Consider the following 22,951-nt stretch of genomic DNA (forward strand, 5'->3'; position numbering starts at 1 on the left):
ATCTGTTTTATAACCAGTGTTTCCTGCTGTATTGAATCCCTCCTGTATACATGTAAACATGTTCTTTCATCTCCAAACAATAGCAACAACAAAACCACCTCTACACCATGGGTCCTCTTCTAACCACCACCCCATTTTTGTGCTCACTTTCACCAAAAAGAAGATCGAAGGTGTTAATGTTGCCATTGTTTTTTTTTTCCCTCCTGCCTCCTTAACTGATTTTGATTGACCTTCTTTTTCTACCAGTGCTCTGAAGCTGTTCTTGGGAAGGTCATGGATGACCTCTATATTAACAAATCAATGGTCATTTGCTGTCCTCATCCTTCTCAATCTTTCTGTGAATTTGGACACAGTTTTCTCTGCCTGCCTTCTTGAAACACTTTATTCTCTTGGTTTATGTGATTCCATATAGTAGGTTATTTTTCTACTTCACTGACCTCTCTGTTTCCTTCTTTGTCTCCTCAAACTCTTTTCTTTTGGACTGTCCCACAGCAGTTTTAGTTTTCCTGCTATTTGTCTGTATTCTTCGGTGGCCTCATCTAATCTCATGACTTTAAATTTATACAGACACACACACCACACACATGCACAGAATTATATAGACGTTTTATATTATGCAATCAATATATCTAGCCTAACTTCTCTTTTGAGTTCCAGATTCACACGCCCCTAAAATTTAGCATGACTAAGAACCCTTGACAGAGTTTCTATTCTCTCATCCCTCTGGTCCCCTGTCTTAGTATAGAGTACCACCATCTATCTATGTGCTGAAGTCAAAGGCCTGGGAATCATTCCTTATTACTCACTTTTTCTTACACCCAGCCCAATCCTAAGCAGCTTCTTTTAGCTCTACCTTCAAAGCATATCTGAATTCATTCACTTCTCTTCATTTCCACAGCTACCACAGTAGTACAAGCCACCAGTAACTCTCGCCTCAACCACAGCATTCTCACTGGTTTCCCAAGTACTGTTCTTGTCTCTCCACAGTCAATTCTCTATGCAGAAGTGATTTTTTAAGTGTAAAATCATGTCACTTTCCTGCTTGAAATGCTCCAAATGAGTTGCCAATTGTACTTAGAATAAAGGCTGAGCTCCTGACCATGTCCTGCTGTCCACAGACTGCTTTCCAACTCTCCGGGGCTCTTGCCTTCCTTGACATGTTCCAGACACAGAAATCTTTTTTCTCTACCTCAAACAGTCCAAGCTCCTGGCCTCTGAACTGGCTGCTGAATATTCCAGACACATGGCTGGCTCCCTTTTATGTAGACATCAGCTCATAAGATACCACCTTGCAGAGACCTTCCCAGATGACTGATTTTTAATTAACTCTCTTCTTGTTTCAATTTCTCCGTAAACTAGGTACTGCTTCTCATACAACTTAAACATTTTTTCTTCAGATGATAGGTTAAACAAGTAAAAGGAAGATTGAGAATGGCATGTAGAGAAATGAGAAAATAAATCTACCACTTGCTTTGGTTTAATTAATTTGTATTAGTTTTAAGTAAAAATTAAAAGAAATTTTGAGAGTCACATTGGTGACCTCTCAGCTTGGAAGAAATATTTCAGAAAAAACAAAAAAAGATCGTACCTGGATGTCCCGTTCTTTGATTTTCATCAACAAAAATAGAGACTATGTCCTTAATCTGCTTTACTAGTTAGAAATAAAATGTTCAGGTATCTTAGTGCCTTTTTCAAAGGGTCAGAAAGTGTTTCCACCAATCTACTGCATTCTCCACAATTATGAAGTGAGCCTGTTGTAACATTGTGAATTCCCAAATGCTGCATATTAGGTAAAATGTAAAAAACAAATGGATGCAATATCACAAAATGTTTAACCTCATTTATTTTGATAAGGAGATTGATAGTTCTTATGGTAATATTTCAGGGTCCATTTGGCAAGCCTATAAAGAAGGCTCAACAGCATAATATGTCTGTGGCAAGGTCTGTAGATACATTTTTGCTTGATGGTCGAGTACTCTCATGATTTGTACACTGGGACAAATTCTTTATATGCAGCAAAGTTCAGTTTATGAGTTTCTTGATGTGTATGCTTGTGTATCTGACAGCATTACATGGAGTGTGACCTGGACTGATGCAGCTATTCATACAGAAATTGTAATTTGACAGATGCTGTCTCCCCAGCTTCTGAATCAGCAGGGAGAACTGTTTTTGTTTTTCCACCTGTTGAAGCTTACGGTGGAGGAGAAAAAGCAGAGGAGACATCAAGCAAACAAACTGTTTATGGTACTGAGACCACTTTCTGATATGCTGAAAACACACTAGTCATAGTTGCAAAGCTGCTAAGAAAATTTCTAGCAAATGAGCGAAAGTGAAAATTTAAAGGCCTTAAAACTTGGATACAAACTTTGCTTTTTTTACAGCATGGTTTTGGGTCTTCTTTCTTTTCTTTCTAAAGGAATAAAAACAGAATGGACATTTTTCTTCCATCCAAATTAGCTAGAAACTTGAGAATATAAAGCCAGCCCTCTCAAAACCATCTTCCTCCTTCCCTTTTGGAATATGTTTTCTAATCTCACTTGGATTTTTCAATTTTACTGAATCATGAGAAATTATAGGTGTGTCTTCACAACAAAGCTCAGAAGATTATCTCAATGTCCATCAGTGTGAGTGATCTGAAATTCAAAGTTCTATATAATTCTTTTAGCTGTTTTCTCTTTTGTTCAGCAAATATCCAAATTTAAGTATCAAGGGCAGAGGAAACACATCTCCAAAATGTTATGGAAGAGACTTTACTTAGTTTATCATCTACTTGCCATAATGTAACATGTTTCTTCTACCACATGCACCCCAGGACTCAGCTAATAGTTTTTTGCTGTGGTAGTTTTAAAAAAAAATCAATCATCATGATACCGTTTTGGTTAATTCGTTTTCAATTTGAGATAATAAAAGATAATCTCTGCTATTAAATCAGTTAATGTCAGGAACAATCCTTTAAGACTGATGATTTGGTTATTGCTGGAGCCTAGACCAGGAGCCAGCTGCTGTCTGTCTTTTGAAAACAATAAAAAACAATCCCTGGCCTTAAACGTAATGAACCTAGACAGCCTTAGCAGAGATGAATGCTGCTGCTGCAGCCTTCAGAAGAGAGGAGAGAAAATATATAGGGTAAATAAGCCTTAGTGTAACTATTTTTAGTCTTTAATGAAACCTACTTTTATTTCACCACTTGGGAAAAGATTATGTTAACCATTTTCAGAAACATGTGGCAAAACATGGCTGTATATTAACAAAAGTATGTTCACCCAAATATTATTAGATAATATAGAACATTCCAGTGTACCATCAATTAAATGTTATTCCTTACTCAGGATTAGCTCAAAAGGGTGAAAGATTAGCAACAATGTAAATTTCTACCAATAAACAAATGGTTAAGCAAATTATGGAACATCCGCTCAGCAGGTTTTATAGTCATTACATTCTGTTCACAAGAATATAGATGTAAAGTATTGTCAGTATGGTATGAGCACACCACCTTTGTAACACCTGGAATTAAAATGCCCTCACAAAAAATACAAGAATCATGCATAGAAAAAACAAACTTGGAGAAAACATGTTCATTTATTCAACAAATGCATATGTAGTGCTCATGCATTGGTTTGGGTAGAGTAGGCAGTGGTAAGAACCCTAAAGTGTGTAGTGACTTAAACATCACAGCTCAATGCAGGTGTTTCTCTCTTTCTTAGTTTTTTTTAGAGACAGTGTCTCGCTCTGTCACCCAGGCTGGAGTGTAGCAGCATAATCATACAGTGTCAAACTCTTGGGCTCAAGTGATCTTCCCACTTTAGTCTACCCAGTAGCTGGACCTACAAGTGACCACCATCCGTGTTGATATAGTTGGGATTTATGTCTCTGCTCAAATGTTGTGTTGAAATGTAATTCCCCAATGTTGGAGGTGGGGTCTGAAGGGAGGTGATTGGATCTTGGAGGGAGGGTTTTCATGAATGATTTAGCACCATCCCGTTGGAGCTGTCCTTGCAATAGTGAGTGAGTTCTCATGAGATCCGGTCATGTAAATGTGTGTGGCACCCCACCCCATCTTGTTCCTGCTCTGGCCACGGATGAGCCTGCTCCCTCTTTGCTTCACTGCATGACTGTAAGTTTCCCGAGGCCTCCCCAGAAGCTGAGCAGATGCCAGCCTCATGCTTCCTGTACAGCCTGCAGAACCAGGAACCAATTAAATCTCTCTCACTCTCTCTCTCTCTTTTTTTTTTTTTTTAAATAAATTACAGCAATGCAAGAACAGACTAACATACTCAGCTACCGATGCACTTGTTTCTGGTTGGTGGAAGGCATTGTTCCCATTGTCCCCTGATCCTGAGCAGTCTTTAGTTCCAGTTACAGTGAAAGCCCAGGAGTTCTTCCCAGGGCCCTTCAGTGGGAGAAGGAGGCTGCTGCTCTGCAAGTGGATTCCTCACAGGCTGAGATCCCCAGATCTCATGTCAAGGAATCAGGAGCCACTCTTCAGGAGTGGGAGTCAGTGAGATGATTATTATATCTGAGCTACAAGATAAGGAGTTGTCTAGTCTCATTAGTAGGGCCTTAATCTTTCCTGAGAGACAACATGCAGAATCTCCTTCACTTGGTTAGGCAGACACCAAGAGATTGTTGGATTCTTGACTTCAAAACACAGTGGGGTTTCTCTTTCTTAACCCAATACTTGGATTGAGGCTTTTAGAGTGTTCCTGACTATTTTTTAAATTTGTTTTGTTTTGCTTTGTTTTGCCCAGAGCATCATCCCCCAGGACATTACTATTGAAGTCATGAATTCTCAAAGCAGTCTTATAATTAGGGAAGAGATTATTTTGGCAGCTACCTCCCTTCTCTTTTGGAAATACTGAGGAGGATGTTGATGATGGTGAGGCTGATGACCCACAGCTACTTTGTGGTGGTTTTCTTGCTAAATATTTTTGTATACATTAGTGTACTTGGTCTTTGGAAGAATTCTAGAAACCAGAAGTGTTTTTCATCATCATGATTATTATCATTTTACAGATTTAAAAATCAAAATTTGGAGAGAAAAAATAATTTGTTCAAGGTCGTATACTTAGTGAGTGGTGTCTGTGTAACTTCAAAGCCCATGTGTTATTTTGCTAGATTATTTATAATTTTAATTTACCCAGAATCCATCCCAATTTATCTTAATATTCCAATTCCTTTGGGAGTTTATCTGGCTTACATTATTTTGGAATGAGGCTGCTCATTTCCTAGCATGGAAATAAATGGAACCAGATTTTTCTATTCCTTTCTGCTCTCTGCACACCTCAGTGGTACACATGTGATATAAGCATGGCCAACTGCATATTGAATCTTGAACAAAAGACCCAAGAATGAGGAGGGGGTCATTTAATTGATATTATAAGTAGCAGCACTCTTATGACCCTTTATAATGTCCTAGGTTTCTGGTAGTTTTCAAGCCTGATCTTCAAAACTCCAACCAGTCCTTTAATTCCTCAGATACCTGTCTAATACATTTCCTTTTGGCTAAGTGATCTAGAGTTAGATTCTGTTGCTTATAATTTATAATAGTATATTATGTAGCAGAATGCCATTAGCTATAAGTAACAGACACTCATATTTAAACTGGCTTAGACATAAAGACAACATATTATCTCCCATAAAAGAAAGTAGGGAAAGCTTCAGAAGTTTTTTCAGTCCTGGTAGGATGACCCAATACATTATTAATCAGATACTAATTATAAAATGCTTTTTCTTGGCTTTCTTACTTTCTTATCTTAAAAACTCATGGGAATGGAAAAAATTGTTGGAGTCAATTTGATAATTAAGTCATTTGTAATGTGAAACACATATCATTTCCATAAGAAGTTGACCTACATTGCCTTCTCTAATAATAGTAAGCCCTATAAAACCTGAACACATTTGTACAGTCTTATAAGAGAAAATTACAGTAGGTTTACAGTTGGAGATGTTTAAAGGAAATTTTATATTATTGCTTTTTCTAAAGCATTGAACTATGAATATTCAGGGCAAGAGCATATTCAAAATGTAGAAAAGAAAAATAAGTAGTTTTAAAGATTCAGTAAAATACAGACTCTAACTTTTTAATTAACCAAATATGTCTAAATGTCCCTCATTTCCCAGATTCTCCCAGCAAGGGGTGCAAGATGACTGGTGATCTTTTTCTCCCTTAAGTCACTAAATGTGGCTGATTGCATTCCCTCCTAAAGAGCCATTCAGCAGGGGAGGTGCTTTTTTATTTTCTCTTTTGGATTAAGGGCCTCAGGGAAAGAAATACTTTAAAATTGTGTAAGTGACTGCTTTTTCTTTTCTTTTTTTTTAAAGGAAAAATATAAATCAGTCTTCATTTTCCAAACTAAGAGCCAGAAGTGTAAATACAAAAAGTAAAAAATGCAATGTCCTCATTTAAAAGTTTGATTGGTTACAGAAAGAAGCTATAGAGAGAACACAGAAGGGAAAGTGACACCAAGAGGAAAGGACAGCAGAGAAAGGTACAAGAGGGTACCTTCTTCTGATCTCTTTTTCCCCAAATAAGCATATACTAAGAATGCCAAAGAAGGCGGGCTGAAGAGTAGATGTTTACAAACTAAGAAGCACAACCATGGTGATCCAGGTTCATAGAAAACAGATATTCTTTGGAATAACTATCATCTTGAACATTTTCAGGTTGCTACTGATACTTACTTGAAAAACTGGGTTGTATTTTTGCAACCCTGCATATACATGGGGACACTTATACTGAATTTCATGACATCCTCTGAAGATATTTATGTGATGTCGAGATATTTATGTGATATTCCCAAAATATTACCCTTCTTCATAAGTTACTTCATCAATAAGGAGAAGCAAACAATGCCTACGGTTCATGATTCACAAGTTGACAGGAGTTATTTATAAACATTGGAGGCTAAACTAGGTCCCAAAGTTCTGCCAAACAAATTAAATTTTCCTTTTTGAAGATCAGAATTGCTGATTGAAACAACAAAGGGATCAGTTATAACAATTTAGGACCATGTGGCAGAGAAATAGAATGTAACCTAATATTTGGATTAAATAATCACTTACATTTTATTTGCAAGATAGAGCAATTTTAGCTCCTTCATAAGTAAAATCTGTTAAAGTTGTAACATGGTACCAAAAGATATTCAGTGTCCCAGGAAACTCATGCTGCTTTAAAAAATATTTCTGCCAAAGTAACAAAAGCGAGTAATTTACCCAACAATAATTGAAAATGATAGACTTCTCCCCTGTTGGTCTCTTTCCTTTTTTAAATTTATTAATTATGCTAACAAAGATAAATTTTGGACATGTGGCAGAGGATGAAAGCTTTTTTTTTTTTTTTAAAAGCATAAAGTGCACTGTTTCTCAAGCAACAGAATTCCTATTTTATGCTAAATACACAGCTCTCTTAGCACCAGAAAATGTCCATCTGCTACCACTGGGTTTGCTCTGCACAAAGCAGGCTTTGCACAAAACAGCATTATATTATTAATTTAGACATGTTGTGGGTGTGAGTGCTTGTAAGCAATTCGTCTACTGTAATCCACCGAAAGGAATGACCAGGACACTTTGGGCCGCAACGATCACACGGCAAATTGTAATGAAAGATGTTTTAATGGACACTTTTAGTTGGCACTGACATTTTATCCAAACAACTATCAGCAGTCATTTTCCCCCATATTTAGCTGTGCTTCCACTTTTATTCCACGCTGACCTCTCCCATCTACCTAACTCCAATAAAAATAAGAGAATTTAGAAATCTTAACTTCATGATGACATCCCCCAAATTAACAGAATAATTTTAAGAATTTTACGTTATATTGTTTGAAAGGCACATGTGATTATTATTTATTATCAACTAAATGAATATGATATAAAATGATTTGTGGTGTCACTGTTTCCTCAAATGCATCAGAGTCTTATAAAGAGAGGCTTAAGGAATTAGACTTATTTAGAAAGAAGAGTGCCAAAGAGATGACTCAGTAAGCTCTCACTTACTAGGGGTCATTGGGAGAGTAAGATTAGCCCGGCAATTGAATGCTTATCTACCTGGTGTTATTGCAGAAGAAATTTGAAAATGATAATCCTTCAAATGTCTCCCTATTGACAAGGAATTTCTTCAGCTGTTCATCTTTTTGGATTTTAAAGTTTTTTTTTAATTGTTCAGAAGTTTTGTATCATAGCAGATACTCTATCTGATCATCTTACCACCAAAAATATTTTCCATTTATAAAAGTTAGGTTGCTTCAAAGTACTTTCTGATAATTTATTTTGTTTATACCTCGATTCTGTAATTTGTGGTTATTATTACCATTCTATATTTGAGAAGACTGAGACTCAGAGTGGTTGGGAATTTATTATAGTTCAGAGCTTGATACAGGAACCCAGGTCTTGTGGCTCTTGATCTCAGCATCTTTCTCTACACAATTCCTGGTCAAATCCTCCATGAAGAAAACTTGGGTTAGACACATGCATTAATGAGAGCAAGAAGCAATAAGAAAAGGCAGGGGAACTTAAAGGATAGCAAGAACAGAGGCAGGAAACAGAAAATAAACACTACCACCCATATGACCCTTCAGCTGTCCTTTTGCTAAAACTTGCAGTAGCTATTGTTCATTCAGGAAAAATTTTGATTTTCTTTTGTCTTTAGTTCATAGTTCTCAAAAATTATGAATTGAAATTGCACCTCTTCCATTCCCTAGTATGTGACCTTGTGCAAGTCACATAATCTCTTCAATCCTCAATTTCCTCCACAATAAATAAGGATAATAGTAAAAACCAGGCCATAGAGTCAATTCAGTGAGATAAGGTTCATAAGGAAATCAATAGCAATAGTGCCTGGAACATGGAAACCACTCAACAAATGCTAACTATCATTAATATGTAATAGGTTTATATGTAATATGTAATATAACTGAACATTAACTTGTTCAGTTGCCTCGTATCTGAATTCTTTTCATATATTTGAGAACTCACCAATATGCTGTTTGTTAGTGCTTTCCACCAAATATTTTTTTTTCTCCTAAGCACATCATAGGATTATAGTTCTCTACCCTTCCCCTTCCCCATAAACTTAGATGTGGCCATGTAGCTTGCTTTGACCATTAAGGTATAAGCAGAAAATACATGCATCAGTTCCAGTGAGAAGCTTTAAATGCCAGTACATGTTTCCCCACTGTCTTCCTTTGCCATAATAACCTGTGACATTCCACATAGAGGCTATTCTCTCACTTTATGACCTAGAGTGAGAAGGAGAGAATGACATGAAGCAAATCCCCCAGCTAACCAGCTAACTTGTTACAGATAGGTAGTATGACTGGAAAAACAAAACAAAATAAAAAACAAGCAAAAACATTCTGTGTTAAGCCCTAAATTTGGGGGGCTCTTTATTATTACAGCATAACTTTCCCTATCTTGACTGTTATCCCTACCCTATGTGTCTTGGTGGGAGGCAAATCCTCTTTTATGTCATGGAAATACAAAAGACAAGCTAGTTGCTTTTACAACCTTCCTTGTAGGCACTTGATCTAAAGCTGACCAAGCAGTAGATTCATCTAGGTGGATAAATTGGAAGCCAGAAATGCAAAGAAGTAGGAACAATGAATAACTCATTTCCTTTTATTATGATGGCAACAGCAATGGAGGATATATATATTTCTGGGAAGACGAGGAGCAGGGGTTACAACAGTGACATCTGGGGTCTGGGACTATTATTGAATGCTTTTGCTAACAGTTGGGCCTAATTTTCAGGACATCTACAGAAGAGTCCCTATTGGATAACACTAGCCCTGATCAAGTTGTTGTCTAGTCTCCTTTGTCCTGCCTATTTTTCAACCTTCTGAGCAACTCAACTGTGCAAGCAGCTGATATAATTTCAGTTCATTCATTTTGATTGAATCAGCCAGAATGTGATGCTTGCAAATAAGATTCCTGAATAACAATATATAAGTTAATTTTGAAATTTTCTTTGTTAATGTGCAGAGTTATTTTAGTATATTCCTGGCAGCATGAATTATTTGCTCTAAATGCCACTGCCTATTCATGCCAACAGTACACTTATTCACTTATTTTAGAGATGTCCATACTGTATTTCAGCAGTTTCTTTTCAATGTATTTGTGGTTCTTTAAAAGATCCTTACTGGGTCAAGGTACAAAGCTCTCTTTAGGGTTTAAATTATATTTTAAAAATCAAATAGTTGAAACCATTTGTTTTTATTCTTTCCCTCTAAAAAATGTAAGTGAATTGTTTTCCTGGATTAGTCTATTGAAGTAAGCAGTGCATTACCAAAAGAGACCAACTCTCTGACTGCTTTAATATATCATTTTCTTTATTTTGAACTTGGTTCAACCTAGATATGAAGATGACCTAGAATACTTCTGAAATTTCTTTCTAACTCCATGATTCCTAAGACCATGATTTAGAGTCAACATTTCCACTGAAGTAGATTCATTTAGTTGGGTGGGTAAGGTGATTACTCTTCTGAAGGGTTATTATTCTGGAAATGACTTGATGACTAAATTAGACTGAAACAGGTATAGTGGGAGAATGTAAAGTGGTAGATTCATTACAAATGCCCAGCAGGAATGTAATTTTATGTATTCTGGATTTACTTTTGTAATTTGTTAGGAAAAAATAGGAAGAGGAACTTTACTCCTAGTGGCCACTCCAACACTGTAATTCTCTTGCTGAAGTTCGAACTCAAGAATAACTCTGATTTGCCTCTCTGCCACCCCTACAATCTGCAACTGTAAAAAAGAAATTAAAAGCAATGAAAAAGATTGGAAATGCCAGCAGCCAGAGAGTGCTAGATGATCTGAAGTATAGAGGGAATAAACAATTATTTCCTCTGTTCTGAACTATTTGTTTCTGGAAAGGTGGAGAAGAAAATGGTGGGGGAAAAGGAAGCTTCTTCAGAGACCTTTGGTCCTTTCTATTGAAGGCTTCAGCAAGAAGAAGAAAAAGTTGTAAATTTATAAGACTTGGGGCAAAAATGTAAGATGAGGTTCTATACTGAAGTATGGGATAAGGTGACTGTTGTACCTTAAAACAAGAGGTTTTGATTTTCAGAATAACCAGTCAAATGTGTCTCTTACTATTCTAACTATTGGGCAGTGAAGCAAAAGAAACAAAAGCAAAAACGAAAAAGCTCACTAACAAATATGTGGCACATACATGCAGAAACTTAAGGTAAAGAGGAGCCTTAATTGTAGGAGAACACAAATTTTAGGCAAGAACTGCTAAGACCTGATTACTTATCTGTCTTTACGTGGAGTTTGTTCACAGATCTAAAGGGGCTGGGTTGCAAAACAACAGATTTTCCTAAGATTCAAGTGATGTGATAAAAGTCAGCCTTTTTGTCAGCTGGGGAGAGAATCTTCCCTGAATTCCAGATAGACTAAGGCCTAGAGACGTCAAGTGACTTTTCCAGTGTCATAGCTTGTTCAGAACAGAACCTGGACTGGCAGTCAGGCTCTGATAATGAATACGGAGACACAGGAGGCCCTGGCTTTGTTTCTGCCCGCTTCAGCCCCTACTGGGTACAAGGAATGCTCTTCAAAGGACTGTTGGGATTCAATGTCAAAAGCTACTCCTCTGCTTGAAGGAACAACAGCCTACAAGGGTTGCTTTAACAAATGAGTAAACCCTTTAGAAACTTCCTAAAACTCAGTTTCATTTGAACTAACAATTAAGCACCTGGCTCTGGATTCAGCTACTCCTGGTTTCAGTTTACTTCTGCCACTTATCAGCAGGTCATTTTGGGACTGTTAATTAATGTCCCTAAACCTCAATTTTCTTACTGTAAAATGGAGATCATTGTGATACCTACTTTTTATGGTTCTTGTGAGGATTTATTCATGCAACTGAAAAATAATAAGAAGTATGAGATGAGAGTTTAATAAATAGAGGAGAGCCAGGTATGGAAAAATACAGAGTACAATACATATTAAGATAAATGAGCGAGTTTTTTTTATATTTGTTAAACTCTATTTTGTCTTAATATTTATTACACTCTATTTCTTTTCCTCCCTCCATTACTGAAATGCATTGCTCTCACATATGCTTACCCTGGTTTGCCTGGTTTATAGGCATCAGTTGCATACCCAGTTCAAAGGTAGAGACTTTGAAATATTTTTTAATCCACAAAAGTTTTATCCTGGAAAAGTCGGTAGGAAAAATGTACCCAGAAATTAGCAAGGAGTGATTAAAACCACAGGAGCTCAATACAGCTATGTGGGGAAAGATTCAGGCTGTGGTGAGAGATTTACAAAAAATTTTAGAGCTGGAATTGGCATTGGTGGCCATCTAGTTGACTTGTTTATTTTTTAAAAGGGGAAAGACAAGTCCAGAGAGGTTGCTCATGTACCTGAGGTCTCATGGCACTTCTTCTAGGAGAGCAACACTCTTGATTCTCCACTTTTCTATTTATCTTCTTTACTTAAGTTTTATTTTACCTCCTGTTTAATATTTCCCATGCTTGATTGGTAGGGGCATAATGCTTCTCCATAATTTGGTTCCTACTGTTTGAATCTGGTGTGCTTCATGCAGGACCCTACCAGGGAGATTATAGTGCAGGTGTTCTTGTTGAATGAAGTTCTTGCTGATGGCTCCTGTCTCACTTTTGTCTCTGAAGTTGACAAAGATTCTCCACCAGAGTGGAGTCTGGCCCACACCCACAACTATGTGTCTCCTCCTGTTATTTCCTTCATTACCCTGATTCTGTCTCTTGACAATTTCTGAGAGGTGGGTTAAAAAACAAGAAGCCTCTCTTCCAAAGAGGAAATGTTTTATTCTGGGGAGACTTTTCCAGATAGTGTAACAAAGTGTTTACAGTAGGGGCAAACCCCAGCCAACCACTATACCCCTGAAAGCCAAGACTGAGACCATCATGTCTCTTAGCCATGCAAAAGATAGTGATATGTCAATAGCCAGGGACCTTGACCTTTCTCTTTAAGTCCTTAAAGTCACAGAAATAAAGCCCATGAACCAAGACAAATCAACAAGATCTTCTCAAATCTCAACCATTTATCTCCATTGCTCTTAGTATTTACGGAAAGGTAATAGCTACTCATTTGGTGGCAGTAGTTTCTGTAAGCTTTAAACTTTAGACTAGTGACTCAAACTTGAGGGTTTATCAGAATTCCCAGAGGGTTGCTAAAACACAAATTGCTGGGCCAGTCTCTAAGAGGTCTGGAGTAGGGCCCAAGGATGTGCATTTCTAACAAGCTTCTAAGTGATGCTGATGCTGTTGGACCAGGGACTACATTTAGGATGCACCACTAGAAGAGAAACAGGCCTTTCCTGACTTTCACCCTAATCTTCTGCCTCGCCATACTTCCTTTTTATCTTTAGCTGCTCAGACCCTTTTTTCCAGTGCCAATAGGCTTGCAAATCCTTTTTGCACACTCAAACACTGATGGTCATTACAGCTCAAAGTCACACTTCTCTCCACACATTCATTCTGTAATGGGACATTTTGACTAACCAACCTCAGACATTGCAGGAATAGACTACATCTCCAAGTGATACACTGGTATCACTTTGCACATGCTGATGTGCCTGGGGAGTTTGACTTGTGCAACTGAGAGAGGTGGGTGGAGGTGAAATTTATTGTAGCTAAGCTTCTCAGACGGGAAGGGGTATGGCATGAAGAATGGCATTTTCTCTCTTCATCTTGTTCCTTGGACTGGGTTTGAGCCCCTGTGTTTACATGGATGAGGGAAAAAAAGTTTAAGGAACTGGTTAATAAAACTCTTTGCAGCATTTTGAGCATGAACAGACTTGTTTTGAGGCCAGGCAAAGGAGGTGAGGCCTTCGTAGTCTGATGCCTCTTGGTCACTGGTTAAGGGATCCCAAAGGAGGCATGTGAATTTTCAGGTGGGTCAGGCTCTTTTTCTTTCAGTAGTCTGAGGGCAGTCATATAGAAACACGCTGGCTGTTGGTATCTAACCCACTCCAAAGGGAGGAGGGATCTGCACAAACATAACAAAAAAGATATTCTAGGGGATCAGGGTGGAGCCCTGAAATTACCCAACACAACAGAGAGACCATAAGTATATGAAGCCACTTGGGAAGGGCGGGTGCGTGAGAATCCGTGAAAACATATTTACTGACTCTGATGATGACTTACCCTAATTGTTCTTCGAAACTGTGTTCATGAATCTCTGAGATGTTGGAGGCTCTCCGGTTCAAAACTGTCCTCCGAAGAAGTCTTTTATTGGCTCCTCCGTGGCATGAGATGCCTAGCTTGAGACGTGGTGAGGACAGCCAACACAAGGTTCCTCAGGCTGAGGTTAGCAACTGAGCCTTTAAATCGTCTTTCTATGTTGCCTGATTTCTTTCAGGCAGGGAGCCCAAGACTAGTGTGTTTACTGGGACACTGCCAGTTTCTTTTCATGCTTACTTTCTTTGATTCTGAGTAGCCAGGTGTCCCCTAAAGCAGTTGCCTGGGAATTTAGATGCATCTACAGTAATAAATTTTGCAGCATCATTTGCATGTTTAACCTTCCTCTGCTTCTCTTATTCTCAAAAAGATGCAGGCAAAGCCATTTCTGCAGATACTTCCATGCTGCTGAAGAAGGCTGGGGTTCTGATGAAATAAAAATGAGGACTATTTTGTTAGGACTCTTTGAGTCTTATGTCCCCCAACTCCACATCTCTTTTAAGAAGGGCATATTGAGCGGCTGTGCTATTTCATCAGTGAATATATCCTGGATTTTTATTTCACCCATGACTCAAGGACCATATTATAATTTATCTTCCACATTCACACAGAATTGCTAAAGTTGTGTTTTTCCATTCCATGGAAACAATACTGGTCATGAAATCAGAAGACATGGCCTTCAGTTGTGGCTTCTCACAAACTAGGTGACCTCCCCTGTGACATGGCTAAGATTTGTTTTCCTTACTCAGTATGGCCATTGTGAAGGCCAAAAGTACATAAATCAGTTTATAGGGCTATTAAGAGTAATAAAAAATAAAGAGTTTCTAGAATAGAAAATACCATATAATTACTAACTATACTGCACCATTGTGATCAGTATCAGTACACACATCCAAAGGGGTTGCCCTCCACCTTCTAGTTGGCTTTAAACCTGGGCTGAAATCCAGTCTATTTAATCCTGAGAAAGGAATTGCAGCTCTCTGAATACTACTTTTCCCATATTTGCCTTTTTGCATGTGGTAAGGATTGTAGCTAACACATATAAATGCCTGGAAGAGTTCCTGTCACCCTATCAATGATATTTTATTATCATTTCACTTTTTGACCTTTGGCAATTATAAAGAAACTCTGAGATGTTGTAGAGCAAACTCTTGTGTGGCATTGAGTGTTATTACCAAGACATAAGATTATTATGGAACCTCTGCCTTTGGCTCAAATACTGACTCCATAAGGAGGTGCTAAGTGTCCCTAAGGAAAAAATATCTCAGAGGCAAACTGTCACTGATTCTCAAATGTTGACACCTCTTTCCATTTTTCTGTTCACAGGGACCCAATTTTAGGCTCCATAACTTCTTTTTGTGCCCACCTGTGCTTGCCTGACTTTGAGCCCCCTGCATAACTACCTCCTCTGACCTTAGTTCATTGAATAATGCAACTTTTGCAGCAATGGCTGCAATGGACAGGACACAATGCCATCTCTCCTGTGTAACCTTCTTTGTCAGCCAGTATGCATTGGGCTTTTTCCTCCAAAACTCACTTTGCAACTATTGTCTATTATTCAAGCAATCATTTTCTGTAACTCAAGTAGCACCTTTTACTTCCTTTCTCTAATTATCTAGACCCCAAGGTATAGTACAATAAATACATACCTGCATGCCTTGAGCTAGCTTTCTTTCTTTTGTGTACTGACCTCTTCAGATACATTCTGAGTGTTTTCTGGGTGTGAACTATGCATTTTCTACCACTTAGCACTAATACAGAATTTACAGCCCACTGGGGTTTGGCGTATGGTAAGTTTTGATGTGAACTCACTGTCTGATGGAAAGTCAAAAGTGATTTCTATAGTGAGGATCTGTTTATTTCATGCTATTGGCTGTTGCTATGATTTAGAGGGTTTTCTCAGGATGTATATCAATTGCTTTGCTCTATTGAATACTTTTTAGGGGTTCTTACAAATGTTTGACCAATGCCAGTACCCTGGAAGAGGAAAGGGCGCCAGATGGGTATTCATATATTAAAGTTACTTGTTTCGAAAAATGCCAGACACAAAAGCGTACACACAAAATTATTTACTTGTATAAGGTTCAAAAATAGACAAAACTATGCCCTTACCTCTACCCTAGGGTGTGCAGTAATTGGAAGAATGTAGGAAGAGGTTTCTGGGATAATGCAAATGTACCATTTTGTGTCTTGATATGAAAGGATGGTTAGATAAGTATGTTTAACTTTTCAAAAAGTTTCCCAGCTAAGTACTTACAATTTGTGCAGTTTTGTATCTGTACGCTATTCATTCATAAAAGAAAAAAATCTTGGGTTCTCTTATTAATTTTGTTTAACAAGAGAAAAAGCAACATCAGTTTGGGCTGAGAATAAAAATAATATTATTGTGACTTACCTTAGATGCCTTCTGTCCTGTATATACCTTGGAAATGAGAAAACCTGCTCATGTGGGGTTGTCTCTAGGACTTAGAAACAACGTTTATAGAGAAGTGAAAGTCAACCATCTAGTTGAGGTGGAAAACTTAGAACTTGGCTTGTGTAAACAACACAGAATACCTAATAAGAAGTGGCCGATGACTTGTTTATTGTCTGCTGGGATCAGACAGCTCTCAATTCCTGGTATAAGTCTGAAGAGAATGGCTGTCTTACAAGGCTTGGAGATAGACAGACATTTATGGAGAATGTTATTAAGGTGTTTGCATGTCCTTTTAGGTATTCAAATCTCATGGTTTATTAGGGGATTCAAAATATCTGCCTGTAGGCTTTTTGTGAGAAAAGAAATCTTATGCATAAACTAAGGCTCTCTAGGTCAACAGCATCATATTCTTACTGAGCACAAATTTCCTTGCTACACAAATTATTTTATGTTTCTTTTCTTTTGCAGAAGGATTGACAAACAAGCTCCAGTGACACTGTTTTATATTGCCTATCTACTTAGAAACCATACCTGCCAAAGAACACAACTGCATTCACTGAGTGTCACGAACTTAACTCATATCACAGGAAGAGAGACTAAAGTCTGTCAACACATCTGGACAGGGTTTTCTCACAATTATTTTCTCTGCTGGCCCAATAGACTTTGTACCAGGCTGTTGTGTGTTCTCCAAACCCTTTGAATCCCCCTAAAAATAATTTACTAGCCCTCAAATTGTCACATTTTATGCATCTCTCTTTCCCCAATGAATAATGGTATATAACATCTGTACACCATTTGGTTATTGGGAAATCATTCTCCTCTAATTCCTCGATGCTATGCTAAAATACAATTTCGTATGTCTTTTCTGCCACTAATCTACCTTTCGTCAGTTGATGTTTCAGTAGAGTTTTAGAGGGTAAAAGCTGAGTTTTATCTTCACCCCTTCAGTTTTGGCACGATGAGCAAGGATAACTCAAAACCACTCTGCTCTTCTGGAAGCCACAGTCAAGGGAACCCAGGACCTGACAAGCTGGCAGAAGGACAAGAAATTCTTGCCAGCCAGACTCCTGGTCTATCTCTGTGGAATCCAGTAGAGCTGATGGTAAGAATCACTGTGTCTGTTTTTCCTTTTGCAAATTTAAGATTAATAGGAGAAAAGCATTTATACAGACTAGCCTTAGGTTTAGTGACTCTGATATATTTTTTGTTATGAACATTCATAGAGTCTGATCTTTTCCCTCCCAGAAATAGTATTTTTTTTTTTGGTCTCTATCCTTCTGTGTTGTTTGTCCCTCTTGTTTTGTTGTGTGTCCTTAAGAGCTTGACTTGTGATCAAGTAGGAATACTTCTTAGTCTCCACCATCCTGGGAGTGTGATTTTTTGGGTTGTGTCCAGTGGCCAGTCTGAAAAGATTAGAAACCCCAAGAAACCTAAGATATTAAGCACCATACCTTGTTCCAAATGTGCCAAGCTCTCAAGGAAGTTTGCCTTAATAACAATTCCCATTTATAGGGGCTTTTGTTGTTTTATATTTTTTATTTATTAATTTTTTTCCAACTTTTATTTCAGGTTCAAGGGGTACATGTGCAGGTTTGTTACAGAGGTGAATTGCATGTCATAGGAGGTTTGGTGTACAGATAATTTTGACACCCAGATAATCAGCATAATACTCGATAGGTAGTTTTCCAATCTTCATCCTCCTCACACCCTCCACCCTCAAATAGGCCCCAGTATCTATTCCCTTCTTTGTGTCCATGTGAACTCAATTTATAGCTGTCATTTATAAATGAGAACATGCGGTATTAATTTGCTGAGGATGATGGCCGGAAGCTCTATCCACGTTGCTGCAAAGGCCATGATCTCATTCTTCATATCTGCATAGCATTCTACGGGGTTAAAGTATCACATTTTCTTTATTCAGTTCACTTTGATGGGCATCTAGGTGTATTCTATGTCTGCTATTGTGAAAAGTGCTGTATTGAATATACTCATGTATGTGTCTTTGTGGTAGAAGGATTTATATTCCTTTAGGTATATAATCAGTAATAGGATTGCTGGGTTGAATGGTAGTTGTATTTTAAATTTTTGAGAAATCACCAGACTACTTTTCACAGTGGCTGAAATAATTTACATTCCCAGCCATGTGTGAGTGTTCCCTTTTCTTCACAAGCTTGCCAACATCTATTATTTTTTGACTTTTTAATAATAGCCATTCTGACTGGTGTGAGGTTGTACCTCATTGTGGTCTTGATTTGCATTTCCCTAATGATTAGTGATGTTGAACACTTTTTCATATGCTTCTTGGCCATATGTGTGTCCTCTTTTGAGAAATGTCTGTTCATGTCTTTAAGCCCATTTTTAAATGAGGTGTGTTTTCTGTTGTTGTTTGTTAGTTGATTTGCTTAAGTTCCTCATAGACTCCTGATATTAAGCCTGTGTTGGAGAAAATATTTGCAAATATTTTCTCCCACTGTATAGGTTGTCTGTTTCCTGTGCAGAAGCGCTTTGGTTTAATTAGCTGCCACTAATCAATTTTTTCTTTGTTTCAATTGCTTTTAGAGACTGTTATGAAGTTTTTGCTTGGGCTGATGTCCAGGAGGGTATTTCCTAGGTTTCCTTTCAGGGTTGTTATAGTTTTAGGTTTTATATTTAAGTTTTTAATCCATCTTGAGTTGATTTTTTATATGGTGTAAGGAAGGGGTCCAGTTTCAACCTTCTGCATATGGCTAGCCAGTTATTCCAGCACCATTTGTTGAACAGGGAATCCCATCCCATTGCTTATTATTGTTGGCTTTGTCAAAGATCAGATAGTTGTAGGTGTGTGGCTTTATTTTTGGGTTTTCTAACTGGTTCCATTAGTCTGTGTGTCTGTTTTTGTACCAGTACAATGCTGTTTTGCTTACTGTAGCCTTGTAGTATAGTTTGAAGTTGAGTAATGTGATGCCTCCTGCTTTGTTCTTTTTGCTTACAATTGCTTTGACTCTTTAGGCTCTGTTTCAATTCTACGTGAATTTTAGAATTTTATTTTCTCATTTTGTGAAAATTTTTTTTTGTAGTTTGATAGGAATTGCGTTGAATCTGTAAATTGCTTTGGGCAATATGGCCAGTTTAACAATATTGATTCTTCCTATCCATGATAATGGAATGTTGTTCCATTTGTTTGTGTTATCTCTTATTTATTTCAACAAGGTTTTGTAATTATTATTGTAGAGATTTTTTATCTCCCTGGTTAACTGTATTCTTAGGTATTTTATTCTTTTTGTGGCTATTGTGAATGGGATTTAATTATTGATTTGGCTCTTAGCTTGAATGTTATTAGTATATAGAAATGCTACTGGGTTTTATATATTGACCTTGTATCCTGAAACTTTACTGAAGTTGTTTATCGAACTGGGAGCCTTTAGGCAGCAATTTTAGGTTTTTCTAGGTATAGTGTCATATCATCTGCAAAGAGAGATTGTCTAATTTCTCCCTTTCTAATTTGATGCCTTTTATTTTATTCTCTTGCCTGATTGCTTTGGCTATGACTTCCAACACTATGTTAAATAAGAGTGGTGAGAGTGAGCATCCTTGTCTTGTTCCAGTTCTCAGGGGGAATGCTTCTAGCATTTTCCCATTCAGTATGTTCCCTGTGGGTTTGTTATAGATGGCTCTTACTATTTTAAAGTTGTGAAATAATACCTTAAAATACCTCTGATGCCTAGTTTGTTCAGAGTTTTTAACATGAAGTGAAGTTAAATTTTATCAAAAGCCTTTTCTGCATGTATTGAGATAATTGTGGGGGTTTTTGTTTTTAGTTCTGTTATGTGATGAGTCACATTTATTGATTTGTGTATGTTGAACCAACCTTGCATCGCAGGAATAAGGCCTACTTGATTGTGGTGGATTAACTTTTTGTTATTGATATGGTTTGGCTGTGTCCCCACCCTAATCTAATGTTGCCTTCCCATGTATTGTTGGGGGGACCTGGTGGGAGGTAATCAAATCATGGAGCAAGTCTTTCTCATGCTGTTCTCATAATAGTGAATAAGTCTCATGAGATCTGATAGTTTTAAAAAAAGGCAGTTTCCCTGCACAAGCTCTCTCTCTTTGCCTGCTGCCATCCACGTAAGACGTGACTTGCTCCTCCTTGCCTTCCACCAATGTGGAACTGTAAGTCCATTAAACCTCTTTCTTCTGTAAATTGCCCAGTCTTGGGTATGTCTTCATCAGCAGTGTGGAAATGGACTAATACAGTTGTGCTGCTGGATTTTCTTTGCTAGTATTTTGTTGAAGATTTTTGCATCTGTATTCATCAGGGATATTGGCTGGAAGTTTCCTTTTTTGTGTCTCTGCCATATTTTGCTATCAGAGTAATGCTAACCTCATAGAATGGGTTAGGGAGAAGTCCTGCCTCCTCAATTTTTAGGATACATTTCAGTAGGATTGGTACCAGCTCTTCTTTGTATGTCTGGGAAAATTGGGCTGTGAATCCTTCTGGTCCAAGGCATTTTTCTGACAGTAGGTTTTTACTAATGGTTCAGTTTTGAAACTTGTTATTCATCTATTCAGGATTTCAGTTTCTTCATGGTTTACTCTTTGGAGGTTATATATTTCCAGGAATTTCTTAATTTCTTCTAGGTTTTCTAGTTTGTGTCCACAGAGGTGTTTATAATAGTCTCTATGAGTTTTTTGTATTTTTATGGGGTGGGTGGTAATGTCCTGTTTGTCGTTTCTGATTGTATTTATTTGGATATTCTCCCGTTTTTATTTCTTAGTCTAGCTAGCAGTCGATCAATCTTATTCATTTCTTCAAAACACCAACTTTTGGTTTCATTGATCTTTTGTGTGTTTTTTCATTTCCATTTTGTTTAGTTCAACTCTGACATGGGTTATTTCTTTTATTCTACTAGCTTTGGAGTTGGTTTGCTCTTGTTTTTCAAGTTCCTCTAGGTGTGACGTTTATGACGTTAGGTTGTTATTTTGAGATCCTTCTAACTTTTTGATGTGGGCATTTAGAACTATAAACTTTCCTCTTAACATTGCTTTAGCTTATGTTAGTCCCAGAGATTCTGGTATGTTTTATCTTTGTTTTCATTACTTTCAAATAATTTCTTGATTTCTGCCTTAATTTCAATGTTTACCCAAAAGTCATTCAGGAGCAGACTGTTTAACTTCCATTTAGTTGTATGGTTTTGAGAGATCTTCTTGGTATTGATTTCTATTTTTATTGTGTTGTGGTCTGATAATGTGGTTGGTATGATTTTGTTTCTTTTGGATTTGTTTAGAATTGCTTTATGGCCTAGAGTGTGGTCAATTTTAGAATATGTGCCATGTGCAGATGAAAAGAATGCTTGTTCTATTTTTGTTGGGTGAAGTGTTCCGTAGATATCTGTTAGGTCCATTTGGTCAAGTGTCAAGTTTGGGTCCTGAATATTTTTGTTAGTATTCTGCCTCAGTGATCTGTCCCATATTGTCAGTGGGGTGTTAAATTCTTCCACTGTTGCTGTGTGGTTATCCAATTTGAGTGCTCTAGTATTGGGTGCATATATATTTCAGAAAATTAATTCTTCTTGTTGAATTAAACCCGTTACCATTTTGTAATGCCCTTCTTTGTCCTTTTTGTTTTGGTCATTGCTGGTTTAAAGTTGGTTTTGTTTGAAATAAAAATAGCAACCCCTGATCTTTTCTGTTTTCTGTTTGCTTAATAGATCTTTCTTCATCCCTTTACTTTGAGCCTATGGGTGCCCATACATGTGAGGTGGGTCTCTTGAAAATAGCATGCAGTTGTGTTGCTTCTTTATCCACTTGCCACTCTGTGCCTTTTAAGTGGGGGCATTTAGCCCATTTATGTTCAAGGTTAATACTGATACATGTGGATTAGATCCTGTCATCATGATGTTAGCTAGTTGTTATGTAGACTTGATTGTGTAGTTGCTTTATAGTGTTGATGATCTATGTATTTCAGTATGTTTTTGTGGTGGTTGGTAAGGTTTTTCATTTCCATGTCTAGCATTCCCTTAAGGGCCTCTTGGAAGGCCCGGTGGTAACAAATTACTTAGCATTTGCTTCTCTGGAAAGGATTTTATTTCTCCTTTGCTTATGAAGCTTAGTTTGGCTGGATATGAAATTCTTGGTTGAAATTTCTTTTCTTTCAGGATGTTGAATATAGCCGACCAATCTATTCTGGCTTGTAGGGTTTCTGCTAAAATGTCCATTCTTAGACTGATGGTGTTCCCTTTGTGGGTGACCTGCCCCTTCTCTCTAGCTGCCTTTAGTTTATTTTTTTTTTCTTTCACATTCACCTAAGAGAATTTGATAACTACATGTCTTAGGGATGGTCATTTTATATTGTGTCTCTCAGAGGTTCTCTAAATTTTCTGAATTTGCGTGTCAA

General features: G+C 37.5%; 1 long non-coding RNA gene across 1 annotated transcript in view; it reads left to right on the forward strand.

Moving 5' to 3' along the window:
- The window catches only part of LOC105377002 (uncharacterized), a 64,826-nt gene extending 47,184 nt beyond the window's left edge, over positions 1–17,642 (forward strand). The window contains exon 3 of the long non-coding RNA XR_940663.2: positions 17,044–17,642. This is a non-coding gene — a long non-coding RNA (uncharacterized LOC105377002). The remainder of the gene's footprint in view (positions 1–17,043) is intronic.
- The last annotated feature ends 5,309 nt before the right edge of the window (positions 17,643–22,951 follow it).

The sequence above is a fragment of the Homo sapiens genome, chromosome 3, assembly GCF_000001405.40.
Source record: "Homo sapiens chromosome 3, GRCh38.p14 Primary Assembly".
NCBI lineage: Eukaryota > Metazoa > Chordata > Mammalia > Primates > Hominidae > Homo > Homo sapiens.